The sequence below is a fragment of the Homo sapiens genome, chromosome 15, assembly GCF_000001405.40.
Source record: "Homo sapiens chromosome 15, GRCh38.p14 Primary Assembly".
In the NCBI taxonomy this organism is placed as follows: Eukaryota; Metazoa; Chordata; class Mammalia; order Primates; family Hominidae; genus Homo; species Homo sapiens.
The window spans coordinates 93553336-93572371 of record NC_000015.10 but is presented as its reverse complement, the minus strand read 5'-3'; the positions used below and the strand labels follow the sequence as shown (position 1 = coordinate 93572371).

The window sequence follows — 19036 nt, the reverse complement described above, 5'->3', positions numbered from 1 at the left end:
AGGTGGGTGTCAATGCTGTCATTATGAGGCACACAGACAAACCGAGGGCATCAGATGCAAATGCGCGGGTTTACGAAGGAGCTTAAAATTCCAACGTGCAAAGACTAGATGCACTAACTGGACATCAATCAAGGAAAGCAGAAGTCTCGGAGTTTCTGAAATCTGTGCTATGGGAGAATACTCAGAAGATTCTTCTCCATGACTCCAGATGGCAGGGGCAATATTTATGAAGGACCAGGAGGCAGGTTTGGCCTTAACATAGAGACAGCCCTTCTAACAGGTAAAGATGGAACTGCATAAATTAAACCGCAAGATGTTCAGAGAGTACACGGCTACTTGGTGGGAATGTCGAAGAAGGAATCGAAGCATAAGATTTAGATACCAAGGCATTCCTTGCCCTTACCGGGATACCCTGACTTTATATCAGACGCAGAATACCACAGTGAGTGAAAATCAGCCTGTTCAAATCCTGGTTCCACCACTCAGCCCAGGAGATCCGGGCTAACTACTTTCAGCTTCAGTTTCTTCATCTGTTTAAAGGAACTAGGGACAGTACTTATCTCACAGGGTTGTGAGCTTCTTTAAATAAGATGATAAATATCACCTGCTTACCTTGAGCCTAGCACTGTCAGAACCTAATAATGTTTGCTACGACCATCATTTAGAAATGAATGAGGGCAATGTGCAGCAATTCAGTTTGTCTGCACCATGCAGATACAGGCAATGCTGGGAAGATTCAACCGATGTTCCATGAGTTTCTCCCATGTGTGGACGTGGTGCAGTTAGAGAGAAAGAAAATCCCCAACTCCAGTACCATATGGTAGGCGCTCCAGAAGTGAGAAAAACACATCAGTCAGTAATCGATTTTAAGGAATGATTGCCAAGTTTATCCCTGTAAACAATAACTACAGTTGCTCGGTGTCTGTAGGGGATTGATTTCAGGACCCTCTGCAGATACAAAAACCCACACATACTCAAGCTTCAGAGCTGGCTCCACAGAACCCACGTATCACAAAAAGTCAGCCCTTCATATCCGCAGGTTGTGCACTGAGGGAATACTACTATATAATCTGCTGTTGGTTGCCGATGCAAAACTCCCAGATACAAAGGGCCGGCTCCATTGATTGAAAAACATCTGTTTATAAATGGCCTGTGCAGTTCAAACACATTGTTCAAGGGTCTACTTTATTTGCAAGAGGAGCTGAAATAGAAAAGTTCCATTTTAAAAATAAGCGTACAGAAGTATAATCTTGACAGAAAATTTGTGACACCCTTACAAAGAGAAGTCATACATCAGATCTATAGATAAGGAGAGACAGGCAGAGAAGGATGGACCTGCCCCAGATATTACAGCATGTCAGGAATGGAGGGCACATGAAAACTTGTAACCAGAGGCAGTGGGGTATGGTGGGGAAAACTGCATGACTTGGACCTGCACAAATGTATTTTGGACTCACTTCTGCCACTAAGTATCATTATTTCTCAAGGAAATTGCCAGGAAACTCCAGGCTATCTCAATTAATCTCTTGGAGTCTTCGTTCCATCCACTACGACATAAAATGGTACCGCTGGATGGCCTCCAGGGTCTCTTCTGGCTCTGTGCCCGTAAAACCATAAACCACAACAAATCACCGTTAAGTTTCCAATTCTACAGGAATCCAACATTTTGAGGAACAACCTATACAACTCCAGCAAAGAAGCACGTTTCTTTTTGTCTCTGGCATACATGGTTGGCATCAACCCGGAAACATCATGAGCAAAAATGCATGCAAAATTAAATCATTCTAACATGGGAAAAAAGATTATAGAAATACCCTAAAAGGAGAAAAAAAGGGGCAGTCAGCTGCTTCTGGATGCTGGGTAAAGAGGTTTAAACACATCCCCTGAATCCTTGTCAATTGCCTATAATTACAGAATAATTTTTGCATTATTTATGCCTTCCCTTTTCAAATGCATAATCAATTCCGTAATTTTGGCTGAATGAGCAGTCAAAATCCAATTCAAATTTAATTATTATAAATAAAGATGCCAGAAAGAGGGGCTATTTAAAAAAAAAACACTAATATAGTATCACCCTATGCTTAGCTTCCTTTATCATTGTTGACACTTCAAGTATAACTGTTGGGGGAAGCATGCTGTGTCATGATAGCTCTCTGGTCCCTTTAATAACTGGGATCACACCAATAATGAGGGCCAGTGAACCCTGAAATAAGCCTCACCAAAGCAGGAAGATGGTCAGTGATTCGATTCTTCTGGAAACTTTAGGAGATATATCTCTGATATGAATTAGAAGTGCCTTTACTGTTTGGGCGCTGGCTGGCGCTGCCTTCAGAGTGATGTGACTTGTATTTGAGCCCTTATTTTAACATTTACCGCCCTGTTAATGCAAAAGCCAGTTAACCTCTCTGCACCTAGAATAATTAAACTGCAAAATCAGAATAATAATTCAGGCTTCATAAAGTTGTCATGAATACTAAATGAGGATTTACACCAAAATGCTTGGATAAATCAGCTTGTAAAATTAAAATGCTGCTATGATTTTGCCTAAATTAATTTTAGTATTTTGCATTCCTAATAGTCTGCAAAGAAGCCCAATGCCCTGACTTCATTTCAAATTTCAGTTCAGAGGCTTATTTTATTGTTGATTCCAAAGATTGCTGTGAACATCTTATTTGAACTTTCTAGAAATGAGTTCTGTTGGTTTCACTTGAGTTTCAACTCTACCTATGTGATATTGGGAAGGTCATTTAAGATTCTTAATTTATTCAAATGAAAATGTGAGAGTTGGAGCAGGTAATCTGCAAGGTTCTTTCCAGCATTAATTCTTATATCATGTAATCCCATAAATTACCTGGGTCATGAGATGTCATTTCTCCATTTGCTTTCTTCCTTGTTGCTACCATCCATCGACTGAACGAGGTCTCTCCATTTGTTCTGAAAGTAAGGGAGTCAAAATCTTAGTTACAATGCAAATGTACAATATTAGGTTGGCAGGATTGTTCAGAAGAGGGCATCTGTTGAAAAAGATGGAGGAAGTGTAACAAAATATGTTAATAGAAATAAAATGTAGGCAAATGTACAGATCACAAGAGACAGACAAAGCTGCAGACATAAGGAACAATTGGCATAATTTCAACTCCTGGTGGCGGAAGGGGCACCTAGCACACAATGGGGTTTTGATCAAGTAGCCTGAAGATTTCCCAGTGGCCCAGACACTCCTACCCTCACCTTTTGATGGTAATATTATAAAAGGTGTGAATTGCATGAAAATGCAAGAATCAGCACTGTAGAGACATTTGTCACATGGCTCGTCTACCTCGGAGGAGTCCGGAAATTATGCCACGCAAAGAATGAGCTCATGACGGAAAGAATCTATGTTTTGTATAAAATTATTGAATCGAGATTGCACATGACCAAGAGCAGACCTGCTCTTTCTTCCTCTGGTTCCATGGCCACAGGTGTATAAAGAATCCCTTATCTGCCCCTATCTGTGTGCTCATGTTCCTGCTGTCTTGTTACCAGTGACTTCACTGCCTGGAGGTGCCCTGGGCTGAGAAAGTGAAAAGGCAGAATCTGGTGGCAATCCAGGGTGGCCACTGCATAGATGTCCTCTCTGCCCTTGCTGTCACCCATGGCAGTAGACACTTAGTATGCCGAAATGTCACATTATTTTTTAAAAAGTGAACTCAATTAGCCCTGGATCCCCAGTTTTTCTGAGGACAAAATCAAAACCAAAATGAAACCCTCCTTACTCAAGACTTTAAAGTATTAGCCCTTTCCAGTTCAAACAAGCTCATTCTTCATAATTAGTTCTCATTACTAAGTCAAATTCAAGTTTAAAATGTGGTCTGTTACAGATTCTTCCAGTCCCCTTTTCTCAGTCCGGTCTGCTGGTACAGAAAATATATTGTATTTTTCTTGAGAGGCCTCAATAATCTTGCCTCACTCATTAAACCCTGCCTTGGTTAGCATTAGTGATGGTCATTCCTTTAACCCGGTCCCCAGCTTAAACCCTGTATTAGTCTGTTTTCACACTGCTGTTAAGATACTACCCAAAACTGGGTCATTTATAAAGGAAAGAGGTTTAATTGACTCACAGTTCCACATGGCTTGGGAGGCCTGAGGAAACTTTACAATCATAGTTAAGGCGAAGGGGAAGCAAGGACTTTCTTCACATGATGGCAGGAGAGAGAAGTGACAGCAAATTGGGGAAAGCCCCTTATAAAACCATCAAATCTCATGAGAACTCACCATCGCAAGGACAGCAGAGGGGAAGCCACCTCCTTGATCCAATCACCTCTCTCTCTCGACATGTGGGGATTACAATTCAAGATGAGATTTGGGTGAGGACACAGAGCCAAACCATATCAGAGCCTTTACATCAATAAATGAAAAATAAATTTGATAATATTTCAAATATTATTGATATTATTCACCACGATGCTTATCAATCTTTGTTTGAATAAAGCCATATTTTATTATGAATACTCAAGAAATTAAGATTAGAAAATAAAAAAAAGTAGAATGGGAAACGGAAGTGAGCAGGCAACTTCTGCCATTTCCATCTGCACACCTTGATTTATTGCATCCTGATTTATTAATGGCATTTTTCTTGGTTCAAATTTTTCACACTAATGAATAACCATATATATCTATTCTTAAATATGCAAGTATTTCTATAACTATTAGAAGTAGAATTGCTGGATCAAAGGGGCAAGTGCATGTAAACTTTAAATAGATGATGGCTTTTTTTCCATCCAAATAAGTTATACTAAAAAGCAGATTTCCCAGGGACAATCACAGCTACTTAAGCTCCCGAGATTGAACCAGCAGGAGAGCAGCAGGAAAATAGATATTTTGAAAAAGTTCTTGAGATATTTGTGTTGGGTTTTCATGAAGGTCAGAAAGCCCTTTCGCTCCCAGGTGGCCTGGTGAGACTGGCATCTCATCTGCAGAAGGAGTGCATTTGTAGGCCCAACTTTTATCTTCTGGGTCTGCATGTACACGTTGCACCTGGCCCTCCATTCAGAACAGCATGCTGAGGCTCTCCCGTTGACACAACTATTGAAGGTAGAAACTTTCTAAGCCAGGCCTTTCAGACTTGGCTCCTTTAAATAAGGAACTGAGCAGAATGGGCTGTGACCAGTGATGTCATCCAAGGCAAATGATTCTTTGATACACACAGATAAATGTCTCCTTAGAAACATGCCCCTTGGAAAAGCAAAAACCAGCCTCCAGTTGAGGCATGTGCACAGTCAGCATGAGTTACAGGAACAGGGACAGTAAATTCATTTCTTTACTTACCACCTACTGAGTCAGGCTTACAGAGAGCCCTGGATTAACAAGCACTGTATGGCCAACAGAGGGCTTTTATGCTGCAAGATAAACATGTGCTTTCTCAGGTTATAGCATGTTCAGGATATCCTCCCAGTTCAGGGAACTCACTCAGCAAGGATTTGCCACTTCCTGTTGACTCAGGGGACCACTCCAACATACTTAGACTGATGACGACCTCATTGCACCCAGAGGAAGACAGGATCACGTGTAAGGGTGAAACAGGGCTGGGAATGACCACACCCTGTACAACGGCAATAGTGTTTTCTCTGGTTGAGAGCAAAGACATCAGAGCCAATAAGGGAGGCTACAAATTTCCACCTCTTGAATTCAACCCAATCCAGCCAGTGGAGCAAGCTGGTGTGTGTGTTGGGGGACGGAGGGGCGGGGAGGGGTGGTGGTGTATGTTGAGAATAAAAAAAATGCAAAAATAGTCCCAGTGATGACTTTGACTCTCCTTTAATCCCATACCCAGGTACTTACTTCCTTGGATTTCCTCCATCCACACATCTACTAACCTAGTTCAGTCTGCCCTGCCCAATATGGAAGCCACTAGTAACATGAGGCTATGTAAATTTAAATGGATTAAAATTAAGTAGAATTTAAAATTGTATTCTTCAGTCATACTGACCATATTTTGAATACTCAACAGCCACTTGTCGCCCATGGCTATGATAATGGACAGCACAAATACAGAACATGCCCATCGCTGCAGAAGTTTCTGTCGGGCAATACTGATTTCCTGAGACCTTATGTATTTTGGTCTCTATGGTAGGCTCTGTCTTCTAGAAGCATGCAGCCCAGTAGAGAGACAGACATTAACCAAGAACTCTCTCAAATAAATCAGCAATAACAGTTTGGGATAGTGCTACAAAGGAAGGTCTTGGAGAGAATACAGCATCGAGTATTTTTCTTGCCTACATGATCCCAGACAACTGCGTTGAGGAGTGAGGTTAGAGAGAAGGTCTGAAGAATCTGAAAGAATCGCTTCCCACTAGAATGTGTGTATCTGTGGCATGGTGCAGGATGGGATGGGGATAAAGGCATTCAACACGCAGACAGAAGAAGAAAGAGCAACAGAAAATAAGGGTCCAGAATGTCTCCGGGCTTTTCAGTCTCTGCTTTGTTTTCAACCTCAAACAGATTCTGCTGTCTGATTCATCCTGCCCCCTGATACATCCCCAGGCACCCAGTAGAAATAAGGTTTTACCCAAGATATTAGTAACTCAGACTGGGAAAAATAAGGACTTTTAATTCCTAAAATTTAAATGAAATTAAAACTGCCATCCTCTGCACATCTCTAGGAAAATGTCAGGCTCAATTTGCCAACTGCCATCCTAGCTAAGGAGGAAAGGAGAGGGCAGTGCACTTTTGCAGGCAGATCCAGGCAAACACAGAGAGAGAACCATGGAGTCTACAGTGACCTATGGTACACAGAGGAAGGAGAGGAAACATTAGGAAAAATCTGACTGCCCCTGGGCAGAGGAAAATAAGGACAGGAGAAAGGAAACCAAACGCAAGTGAAATTAATTAAACAGAATATTTGTAGCAGGGCTCTAAAATTAGGCCGAGATGGAAAAGTTTTCATCTGAACATCATTTGTGGAATTATCTTACGATTTACATGTTTCCTCCCTAAACAGATGTTTTGAGAAAAAAATTGTAAAGGAAAGCCAGCATTTATAACAAAATTTCCAAATAATATGCTAGTTTGCTTAACTGAAAGAATAAGTACAAGGGTAGAACTGAATGTTTAATTTTAATACACAAAAGGCTCAAGTTGGAAAACAGCTACTATTTAATGTTCCCTTCTAAAGTAGTCGAATGAAAATGAACTTTAAGCTTGCTGTTCTAATGAGAGAAACAAATGATTAAAAGAAGATTCTTAAAATAATCCCAAACTTTGTTTTAATCATTGGTTTAGGAGAAATTTGCACAAGGAATTGTTGAGTAAGAAAACAAAGAAGCAGATAAAGATGTGTGTCGTTTTTAAAGAGCAAACAATGAGAAAAACCTACAAAAGTCGGTAGAAAGACTGTAAAAGATGGGTACCCGTAAGATACAATAATTCTATTTTGGTAAACATCAAACAAACAGAAGCCATACATTGTGTATGTTTGTGTAACTGGCTTATCAGTTATTTCTCTTTTATTGCATTTCCCATATTGTATTGGAGTTATGTGTATATAGTTGGTTTTTTCTGTGAAATCAAGTTTCTGCCCTCATCTCTGTATTTCCACTACCCAGTGACAATCTGTGGCACACAGGAAACATGGACTGAATTGTTGTTGCATGAACAACACCAACTAGACCAAATGGCACAACTGGGGGAGAGCTACATGGGAAGGAACAGGAAAGCATAGGGCTTAGGATCAGAGAACAGTGACTAGGGCATGAGGGGAGGTGGCCACATGGTTGTAAAGGCTCTTTATGTGACTCAGATGCTACACCAAATACAGGACTGACTCCATAATCTGCAGATCTCAGCGCAAAACAGTGACTACAGAACGATAAACCAGGCATGGGGCCCTTCTAAGCCCACGGGTCCTATACAAGTGCTCATGTTACACGCCTTTGGAGCCAGCCCTGCAGACAGGCACTAAAGGGTCCCTGATAGACTTTAAACAGGAGCAAGCTGATGAGATTTAAGAAAGGGCTTTAAGAAAAATCACTGCAGGCTGGACACGGTGGCTCACGCCTGTCATCCTAGCACTTTGGGAGGCTAAGGCAGGAGGATTGCTTGAGCTCAGGAGTTCAAGACCAGCCTAGGCAACATGGCAAAATTTTGTCTCTCCTAAAAATAACAAGCCAGGTGTGGCGGCATGTGCCTATAGTTCCACTACGCAGGAGACTGAGATGGGAGGATCGCTTTTGTCCAGGAGTTAGAGGCCACAGTGAGCTGTGACGGTGCCACTGCACTCTAGCCTGGGTGACAGAGTGAGACCCTGTTTCAAAAAAATAATAATAATAAAAATAAATAAATAAAAATATCTACAGAGGCATTATAGATCATTGTTAGCAGGAGGCCTGGAAAAGCCTCTTAGAAGAAAATTGCACCAGCCATAATGATTAGAAGAGCCTGAACAAACCAGTCAGTAGCAATAGAGCTGGAAAGGTACAGACGGGTCCAAGAGAAAACTAAGGAATTAGGAATCATTATGCAAATTGCACTGTGATCGGGGATTTGGGAGGAAAGTTAAGGGCAGAGGAAAAGGAAGGACAGCAGAAAGAAAACCAGATGCAAGTGAAATGAATCACATAGAACACTTGTAACGTGGCTCTAAAAATGGACAGGAAAAAAACACTTGCAAGCTTCTTTCTCTGGCAACCAGGTAGATGAAGGTGCAATAGAGCCAGCCCACAGCTAGTATGCTCTTGAGAACAATAATAAAATGTGCAAAGCAGTAGCATGGATATTGCCATGAAAGAATAGAGATAACACGTTAACAAGCTTGAAGGAGACAAACCATTTCCTTCAAAGAACCTGGGAGAAAAACAGGAATTTTCGTATGGCAAAACTGGCACCTGTGCTGCCTCTCGAAATGCTATTGATTTTTGTAGAAAGCGTGGTGCAGGGAGGACAGGCCAGGAGTACAGTCAGGCATGCAGGGAGGAACAGGGCATGCAGAAGGAACGGCTGGTGTTCTGGATCAAAGCACTTCTGTGAGCCACGTGAGCCTTGTTTCCAGGTGATTAAAGTGGGGCGTAAGGAAGTGAAGTGAATTTTCCAAGTCACAAAGAGAACTAGAAAATAATATTGCCAGACTCCTTATCCAGGGTTTTCTCTAGCAGGCCACGTTTAAAATCTTCAGTTGTTTAGGCTGTGTTAATAACCGATTGAATTGTGAAACTGGCAAATTCAACAGCATAGGTGCCAAGCATTAAGACCACCAAGAATCTGAACAGTAAACAGTTGGAAATGAGCTGAGCTCCAGAGTTACTTTACTCAGGGTAACAACAGGTTTCTGCCAAAGACTTGCCTCCTGACTTTTTAGATCAAGGCGAATCACTGGGCCAAACGCATTGCACAAGTGCTCACAAATCCGTGGAAAGATTTTTCTCAAGTTATGCGTGAATGTTCAGTATTGTCATGAGAAAGTGCTTGTTGCAACATTTGCTTCTTTCTTATTGATGAGCAGCTGTGGATGACAGAAACATAAGACTCAGAAGTTTCTGTCCCTCAGTCTCTCCAGTCCATTCTGGTTTAAGATGATTACACAGCGATTTTACATAACAAGAGGCAGTCGAATGGGAGAGACAAATGGTTTTATTTCTCAAATCAGTTTCATTAAGGATTACTCAAAGCATCATCTCATCTGTCTTTGCACAGTTTTATGTTCCTTGGAGGCTGGAAGTGGGAAGTCATTTTTCATAAGGCTGATCTTTAACTAGTTAGCAATGGAACTGTTAACATGAGTACATCCTGTAAAACTGGACATCCATTATCTGGCCCTCCAGCCTTCGCTGCCCTGCATGTTTCCATTCATCATAGCAACCCCTTGGATAGCCCAGCTGTTGCTGCACCAGAGGCCTTCACAATGAAACCCCGACCCTGAGCAAGAAATGGTCAAGGCAACTACTTCCCAGGATCCTTCAAAAGGAGCCAAAGCCCCTATTCCTGGGAGGAGATACCTGTTACTAGGATGACCATGTACTGTATCATCCGAACACTTCTTACCATCTCCTGGAACTCTTTGGAGGGTACAAGCAAGTTTTATTAATAATTGCATCAAGTCAGCAGATATAAATTAAACCTAAAAGAGAAAAACTAAAATGTATGTTCACTCTACCTCTTATCAATGTAGTTTCAAAGATCAGCCTGCAAACCTTTCCTGCTGGGATAAGCACCTTGCATCATATATGCAACAAATGCTATGTGTGTGTGTGTGTGTGTGTGTGTGTGTATATATATATGCACATGTATATATGAGATAGGCAATATGTGTTCAATTTATGTTTATAAATATATGTTCACTGGAGGTAGAAATAAAATATATCAGCCAACTGACAACAGAATCTTTTTTTTTTTTTTTTGAGACAGGGTCTCACTTTGTTGGCCAGGCTGGGGTGCAGTGGTAAGATCACAGTTCAATGCAGCTTCAGCCTCCTAGACTCAAGGCATCCTCCCACATCAACCCCCCAAGTAACAGAATCTTATGTTGATAGTTTTTTCCTCCATAAGTTTGATTTAGTTGACTCTCAAAAGAGAGTTCTTTGACTGAAAGTCAAAGGCACTTAAGTTCCAGGAAGAAATTACCCTAGCAAGTAAATATGTTTTATGCTAGCTCATTCCATTTATCATATCTAAAATTAAATATTAATTGAATAAATAAATGAGATGATCAGTTAATTTCATTAAATACTCATCTGGTTGCCTCTGATGTTCTCCAAATGCTATGTTGAAAAACAGATTGGCAGTGATCGTAATTATAAGCACTTCAGTGTAGGAAAGGGGGAAGAAAATGACCATTTTAATACTTACTACATGCTAGGCAGCATTCAAGACTCTTTTTATATAAGCTCTCAATTTGAATCCTCAAAACAATCCTACTAGAGAGGTGTTGTCATCCTGATCTCACAATTGAGAAAACAAAAGTTCAAGTTAGTTAAGAAATTAAACAGAACAATTGTGTGATTGCAATTCCATGTTTGTAATGTCCATATCCTTGGCTGTTTGATTCCACAACCCTACCCTTTTCCTATTTTTTTTTTTTTTTTTTTTGACAGAGTCTCACTCTGTCACCCAGGCTGGAGTGCAGTAGCACAATCTCGGCTCACTGCAACCTCCGCCTCCCAGGTTCAAGGGATTCTCCTGCCTCAGCCTCCCAAGAAGCTGGGACTACATCTGCCCACCACCACACCCAGCTAATTTTTGTATTTTTAGTAGAGATGGGGTTTCACCATGTTGACTAGGCTGGTCTCAAACTCCTGACCTCAAGTGACCTGCCCACTTAGGCCTCCCAAAGTGCTGAGATTACAGGTGTGAGCTATCACACCCAGCCTCTTTTTCCTTTTCCATAATATTTACAACTATGTATTGATCACCAAAGTTTAAATTCTTTGCATTCCTAGAGAATTAAAAATATTACAAAATAAGTGTATTAATCTATTCTCATGCTATTAATAAAGGCATACCCAAGAATGGGTAATTTATAAAGGAAAGAGGTTTAATGGACTCACAGTTCCATGTGGCTGGGGAGCCCTCACAGTCATGGTAGAAGGAGAAGGAAGAGCGAAGGCATGTCTTACATGGTGGCAGGCAAGAGAGCGTGTCCATGGGAACTGCCCTTTATAAAGCCAGTGGATCTCATGAGACTTATTCTCTATCACAAGAATAGCACAGGAAAAACCTGCCCCCATGATTCAATTACCTCCCACTGGGTCCCTCCCACGACATGTGGGAATTATGGGAGCTACAATTCAAGATGAAATTTGGGTGGGGACACAGCCGAACCATATCAATAGGTAAGAGTATTAAGGTTATAGGAGGATAAAAATCAATTAAAATGCTCTATATAAAAATAAAACAAAAAAACTACTCATTATGTTAGGATCTTTTTTTTTCTTTTTTCTTTTTTTAGACAGGCTGGAGTGCGGTATTACAATCACAGCTCACTGCAGCCTCCACCTTCTGGACTCAAGTGATCATTCCACCTCGACCTCCCCATTAGCTAAGACTATAGACTACATTCATGTGCCACTACGCTGAGCTAATGTTTATATTTCTGTAAAGACAAGGTCTCACCAGTTGCCCAGGCTGGTCTTGAACTCCTGGGCTCAAGCAATCTGCCCGCTGTGGCCTTCCAAAGTACTGGGATTATAGGCATGAGCTACCACCCCCAGCCTACGTTTGGGTCTTAAAAACGCATCTGTCTCAATCTTATTATAGTCTTGTTCATCAAAGAGTATATTAGGTGTGAGTTCCAAGGTGCTTTGCAGTGTCACTCACGTGCCCTGTTCTTTTGAGCGTTCCATCCCTGTGTATCAGATCAATGAGAAGAAATCATTTTCACAGCTCAAGAAATCTACTAATCAGTGAATGATGAGACATGGTCTCAATAGCGTCCCTGTGGATTCCTACAAAAACTTTTAATAAAAGCAGCTAGAATTTAATCCCAGCTCAAAAGCTTTTGTTCTGTGCCCTCAAGAACTTTAAACTTTTTTTTAATTATTTACTATTAGTACTAAATATCAGAGTCTTGAAAATACTAAAACAAATAAAAATTAAAAAACTGTCTTCCTTTCATTGCTTTCCCTTCTCAAATTCCTTTTTCAAATGTGTTTTGAGCTCAGTATTCCTCAGGCACACTTCTTTACAGTTATTGAAATGAGTGTTTCCCTGTGACGATGTTTGGTCATGAATGCCACAAGGCCACTAAGATTTAAGGCATGTTGCCGATTGGAAGTTCCTCTGAGTACCATCGCCCTTTCCTTATCTATTGCAAACCCAGAGTAGGGAGACAGGGAACCAGCAATGTCAGAAGGAGCTGATATTTTGCATGGAGCTAAGGCTTCTGCTCATCATTTCTCCTCTAGGAAGCAGGAAGCCATTGAAATCCATCCCTAATGTATCCCAAATGTCCACTTGCTGAGGGCAGGATTGCACAAGCAACAATCTTTTGCTCGTGAAGCTTAGGGAGCACTGTCCCAGGGTATCAATTGGCCCAAAGCTGGTCTCTTCCTACAGACCATGCGGCAAATCAGAACATAAGAGGACTTGAGGCCCACAGCCCTGAGTTTCAATTCCAGTTCTGTATTTTAGGTCTGTGTTCGTAATTAGTATCATAATTAACTGAGAAGGTTATTTAGATTTATTGAGCCTCTTTTTTGTAAAATGGACTATTCATATACAACTGCAGAAAAACCAAATCCCCCCAAAAAACCCTTGCTACTTAATACAAAAACCTAACTGCAGGCACTTCTACTTTGCGTGGTTGACAGAATAACCCATCACTATCACCACCAAAACAAACACCCCAGATCCGTGGTGGTATTAAAGAGAATGCTGGAATCTCTGCGCAGATGAGCTGCCAAGCCCACTTTGGGATATTAAAGTGTACAGGACTTGAGGACAGCTGAGTGACACTCCTCACAAGGTGACAGCAAGAATTAAATGACTTAGCACAGAGGAAGCTTCTGGCTCACAACCCTTGTCCTTTTCTCAGACCTCTCCTCTGTCTCTCCCTTCCCTCTCATTTCTCATTTTGCTCACTCTGAGGGTCTCTTTGCCTCCCTTTTCTGGGCTCAAATGCCCAAGGAGAATAAAAATGTTCAACCAATTAATTTCTGATTTTCTAATCATCTACTGGACGGTTGGTCTCTTCTTGGAGATGTTGTAAAGACAAATTTATTTCCCCCATCTTCAAAGAAGCCTTGGATTAATTGCAGATCCATAAAGTTTATAAAATTTGCAGAAAAAAGCCTTCATATTTTAAGGAAGCCTATTGGCAGATGAAGAATAATGAACAGTTGTCTATCTCCTCACAGTCTGCAATGAGTGTTCTCATCCTTCTAACCTCCCTAATGTGATTTGATTCTTACAAGTACTCCAGTGATGCAATATTATTGGTGGATCTCAGTCCTAGGTCCTTGCATGCAGCTTTCATTCCACTGCAATTGAAGTGGCATGAGTTTCTAGATATGCTCCACTTTTAGATCATATGCATTAGCCTCTCTAGCTCAATGGAAAACTGGAATAGAGTACAAAATTAGACAAAAACAAAAAACAGGAAGCAAAAGGCTATGCATTTGAAGCGTCTCCATTTGCCTTTCTGAGCCCCACTTGTAAATAGGTCACATTTTCTCCTCTCCCTCCACCTCTGGTATCCTTATGTGTCTGGCAATGCTGGGTCAGTCCACAATGAGTCTAACTGTGGGCATGAACTAGTGAGGCAGTGATTCTGAGAAAGTGCTCCTCCTTGTTAAACCTTCTGGGAAAATACATCAGAATTTCCTGTTTGAGGTCAATGGCTTTATTTCCAAGGCTTTTCTGTCTTCTAGAGGTATAAGTTCACCTTCATCATATGAAATTTGCAATGGTTCCACAGGCATCCACAATAATCAATTCAGGGTTAAGCTCTTGACTGGAGAAACCAAAGAAGCAGGAGGCCCTTTGGTAGTCTCAGAGAGCTCCAGATGTGGTTAGCATAAGAAGGCAAGCAACTAAACATTTGACAGCTGTGCAAAAATCAAAGAACTCTTCTAGATGACAGAGAAGATGCCACAAAGTTTTTAAAATCTCATCTTGCTGGGCTGCTAAAGACAAATTGCAGAATGTATGCCCCTTGTGCCACTTACATCAATGTCTTTGAACTAGTAGTTTTTTCAGCTAACGGAAAATGAAAAGCGGTTACCTGGCTCCATATACAGTTGTGAACTCCTTCCTGACGATGGCCCATTAATTTCAGCATGCTTGGGGTGGCCTTGGCCTTTCCGTCTAAGAGCAGGAAAATGCTGATGAACACTTGCAATGGTCAGTCTGTCCTCTGCCTGAGTAGGCAAAGGCATTAATCCCATCTCAATGGATTTGAAGTCTCTAGAATGGTTCAATGATCTGGTCATGGGAGCCTGAATAAATACAAACATATCCCCAAATGAATTCTTGTTAAGAAACTTTCTTCATCTGAGTTCATCGAAAAATAGGAATGTAAATTAGTACAACCTCTGTGGAAAACAGTATGACAATTTCTCAAATAACTAAAAATAGATCTACCATTTGATCCAGCAATCCCACTACTGGGTATCTACCCAAAGGAAAAGAAATCACTATATAATAAAGATACCTGTACTTGTATGTTTATCACAGCACTATTCACAATAGCAAAGATTTGGAATCAACCTAAGTGTTCATCAACAGATTATTGAATAAAGAAAATGTGATATCTATCTATCTACCTACCTACCTACCTACCTACCTATATACTCTGGAATACTACTCAGCCATAAAAAATAATGAAATTGTATCTTTTACAGCAACATTGATGGAACCGGAGGTCCTTTTCTTCAGTGAAATAACTCAGAAACAGAAAGTCAGATACCACATGTTCTCACTTAGAAGTGGGAGCTAAATAATGTGTACACATGGACCTAGAAAGTAGAAAGATAGGCACTGGAGACTCAGAAAGGTGGGAGGGTGTCAGGGGGGTGGTAGATGAGAAATTGATGGGTACCATATATACTATTCAGGTGATGGTTACACTAAAAGCCCAGATTTCACCAAAATACAATATATCCATGTAGCAAAACTACTTGTACTCTCTAAATCTATAAAAATAAAACAAAAATTAATTCATTAATTTTTTGAAAAGGTTAATAGATAGTAATTCAGGCCATATACTTACATTTTAGGCAAAGCAAAGGATGTTTATGAAAACTGAAAAGAGTTGCTCTACAAACAATTGTCAGGGAGGGAGCCAGGAGGGAAGGGCAGAAAAAGGGGAAAAGAATGACAGATTAAGTGTAATAAATATGCACAGATTAACTTGTCCCTCTAGAACTGTACCTCTCTCTACCCCAGACAACACTGTGACCACCTGCATGCATGCATGACTATGTATATGAGTGTCTGAGTACATCCTATGGGTCTGCATGTAGTGGTATGCATGTGGGATGAGGGAGAACATGTAATAGCACATAAGAGTGGGGTATGTGGGGGTGTGTACAGATGTGCAAGATGTGTATTTATGAAGGATGTAAGGGGTACATGAATAAGGGGTGGAGGCCGTGGCCATGGAGAGAGATTAGAGAGAGAACATGTATGGGGGTATACGGGCTCTGTGTGTAAAATACAGAGGGGGTATATTTATCAGGGTGGTAGATGCAGGTGTATGCACATCAGATGGGAGGTGTGTGCATGGAGCTGTCTATGTGTGCACATGGGGTACATGTATAATGTGAGGATATGTGTTTACGGACTGCATGTGGGTATGGTGTATAAAAGCTGGGAGGAGTGTCTGCACAATCAAAGTGACATGTGAGATTCTCTGAATAGCAAATCAAGCTTTTCCTTTAGCTCAGCGGCTTCAATGCAAGAGTGACTTCTTGCAGAGATGACTTCTTACAGAGAACTTCTTACAGAGATACGAAGCTCTTAGCATTCAATCCCCTGGAGCTTCTGAACCCCAGCTACACGTGGAATTCCACACCTGTGTCTCCTTTGCTGGGACTCAGCGGACTGATTTGCTGTGATGTGTCAGGCTATAGACCTTCATTTCCCCACAGGACTGATTGGGGAAACATATATCTGGGTTAGAATGTCTGCTGATAAATCATCATGATCATCATGATCATCACCGCCACTGTCATCCATCCCACGCACAGCACTTGGCAGTTTTCAAAATACATCCTCATACATCATCTCATTGCACTACTATATAGTAACTAAGCTAACAATGCAGCGTCCTTTTTGAAAGGCTAATTCTATAATATAAAATCCAGCTGGCTGAGAGATTCGTGCTCGTCAAGAAAAGACTGTCCACAATTAGCCTGAGGAGAACTCAAGACCTTCAAATCAAACATACAACCTCCATTTCTTGACCAAAGCTTCAATCTATTCACAGATCTTGTGTGTTTCTCCTCTTGCATGAAAATTTTCAACAGCTTCCATTTCTGTACCTGTTCTATGACCCCACTAAAGTGCAAAATTGCAAATCCATAACACTTCTCCGGATGGCCAAGTAGATAAATATTACTTTTTTGCTGCCAGTTTGAAAACAGACTAAGTTGCCACGCTGCTAATGATAATAATACTACCAACGCCATGCCTCCAGGTTCCTGAATGGAACCCCACAGAGAACAATTTGTTCCATCATTTTTCTCAAGGATATAGCAGAAATGTTCATGGGCATCCACATTTCTCATACTAAACTTCATTCCCAGGAAAGCAAAACTGGAATTACTCAAGAGCAGCAAATAACAGCAGCAATGGGGTAATTTGCATTTAAAGATATTGCCAGTGGACCAAACCTTTGATATTGAAGGCAGGGTTCAGTCTCTTTAGAGAAGGGAGCCAATGGTATCTTATGGTTTCACATGGTATTTTTTTCACGCACACTGTGTCTGGAGTTTGTTCCTTCCGGTGGGTTCAAGGTCTCACTGACTTCAAGAATGGAGCCGCAGACCTTCGCAGTGAGTGTTACAACTCTCAAAGGTGGCACAGACCCAAAGAGTGAAGGGTAGCAAGATTTATTGGAAAGAGCAAAAGAACAAAGCTTCCAAACCGTGGAAAGGGACGCGACCGTGTTGTTGCTGCTGCTGGCTGGGGTGGCCAGCTTTTATTCCCTTATTTGTCCCCACCCATGTCCTGCTGATTGGTCCATTTTACAGAGTGCTGATTGGTCTGTTTTACAGAGTGCTGATTGGTCCATTTTACAAACCTCTAGCTAGCCACAGAGTGCTGATTGCTGCGTTTTTACAGGGCACTGATTGGTGCATTTTACAAACCGCTAGCTAGCCACAGGGCGCTGATTGGTGCGTTTTTACAGAGCACTGATTGGTGCATTTTACAAACCTCTTGTAAGACAAAAAAGTTCTTCAAGTCCTCACCCGACCCAGAAGTCCAGCTGGCTTCACCTCTCAACAGGAGAAAGGAAAGTGTCTGTGAGGGGTGTACACTGCCTCTATTTGTGCAGTGAAGTTTTCTCAGACTGTAGTGGAGTAACAAGGTGGAAGTTTATTCAAACACTCAGATAATTCAGTTCTCATTTTTTATGGTCCAGTGAGGTATGTATCCTTCTGAATGAGGAATAGAGGTGACACGTATCCCCATAACCTGCATCTCAAGTCTTCCATCCAAGTCTTCACTGGAAGGAGAGCAGCTCTGATACCTTGAGCCAAAGGGTTCAGTGTGCAGACCCAATGCAGCCGCTGGCCAGCAAAATGTGGGCAAAAAATTCACCAGAGCCCATACATTCATGCCATCCATACATTCATTCATTCATCCCCTCAGCAAGCCTTTGTTGAGAGCCTGCAATGGCCAAGCGTGGTTCTCAGAGTGGGGAATCCAGAGATGACTCTACAAGACTCTGCACACTCAAGGTCACAGTCTACAGACAATTCCACCAACAATTAACAAGCACAGGTAAATGCTTCAAATGCAGCCGAAGGAGCAAAGTTGGGGGCACTGGGTAGAGCCTTCATGGGGCAGGAAGGGCCAGAGAGCTGAAGGCCCCTTGAAGTTATGACATGTGAGCTGAGTCATGAAAGATGAGCAGGAGCTGTCCTGGCAGATGGTGACAATTCTCCATCTGTAGAGCAAGTGCTTCCAGAATATCTACTTACATGATCACCAGAGCAGGAAGGGGTTACGGAATGTTTGGCCCAATGTTTCACAGAGGAATCATTTAGAGGCCTGGCTTTGCAATGTCTCTTTGTAGACCTCTTAGAAGATGCTACATCAAACCCACACACATCAATGGTGTGCTTTGCTTCTTCTTCCTAGAAAGCAGAGAGCAAATATCGTGGGGGAAATGAGGTGAGATTTAGTCTGCTCTTTGAAAAATAATACTTTTTTTTTTTTGGTCTATTGGTGCCCATCCCAAGGATGTACAGCTGCATAATTCTGTTAGGTTTTCCTGGGAAACAAAATCACCTAAAGTCCCTGTGAAATCTTGCATTGAATTGCATTACATTACTTTCCAAGGGATTAAGCCCCATCCTGTTTACAGGGGCATACATCCTGTCAGTCCTACATTTTGCATCTGTTA

The 19036-nt window shown here is 41.4% G+C and overlaps 1 long non-coding RNA gene across 4 annotated transcripts in view; it reads right to left on the bottom strand.

The window, feature by feature from the left end:
* The window catches only part of LOC107983974 (uncharacterized), a 207567-nt gene extending 188531 nt beyond the window's left edge, over window positions 1–19036 (bottom strand). For all 4 annotated transcript variants that reach the window (XR_001751681.2, XR_001751679.2, XR_007064771.1 and 1 more), the window contains exons 1-3: window positions 18612–19036; window positions 14687–14900; window positions 2852–2934 (exon numbers count right to left, since the gene is read on the bottom strand). This is a non-coding gene — a long non-coding RNA (uncharacterized LOC107983974). The remainder of the gene's footprint in view (window positions 1–2851; window positions 2935–14686; window positions 14901–18611) is intronic.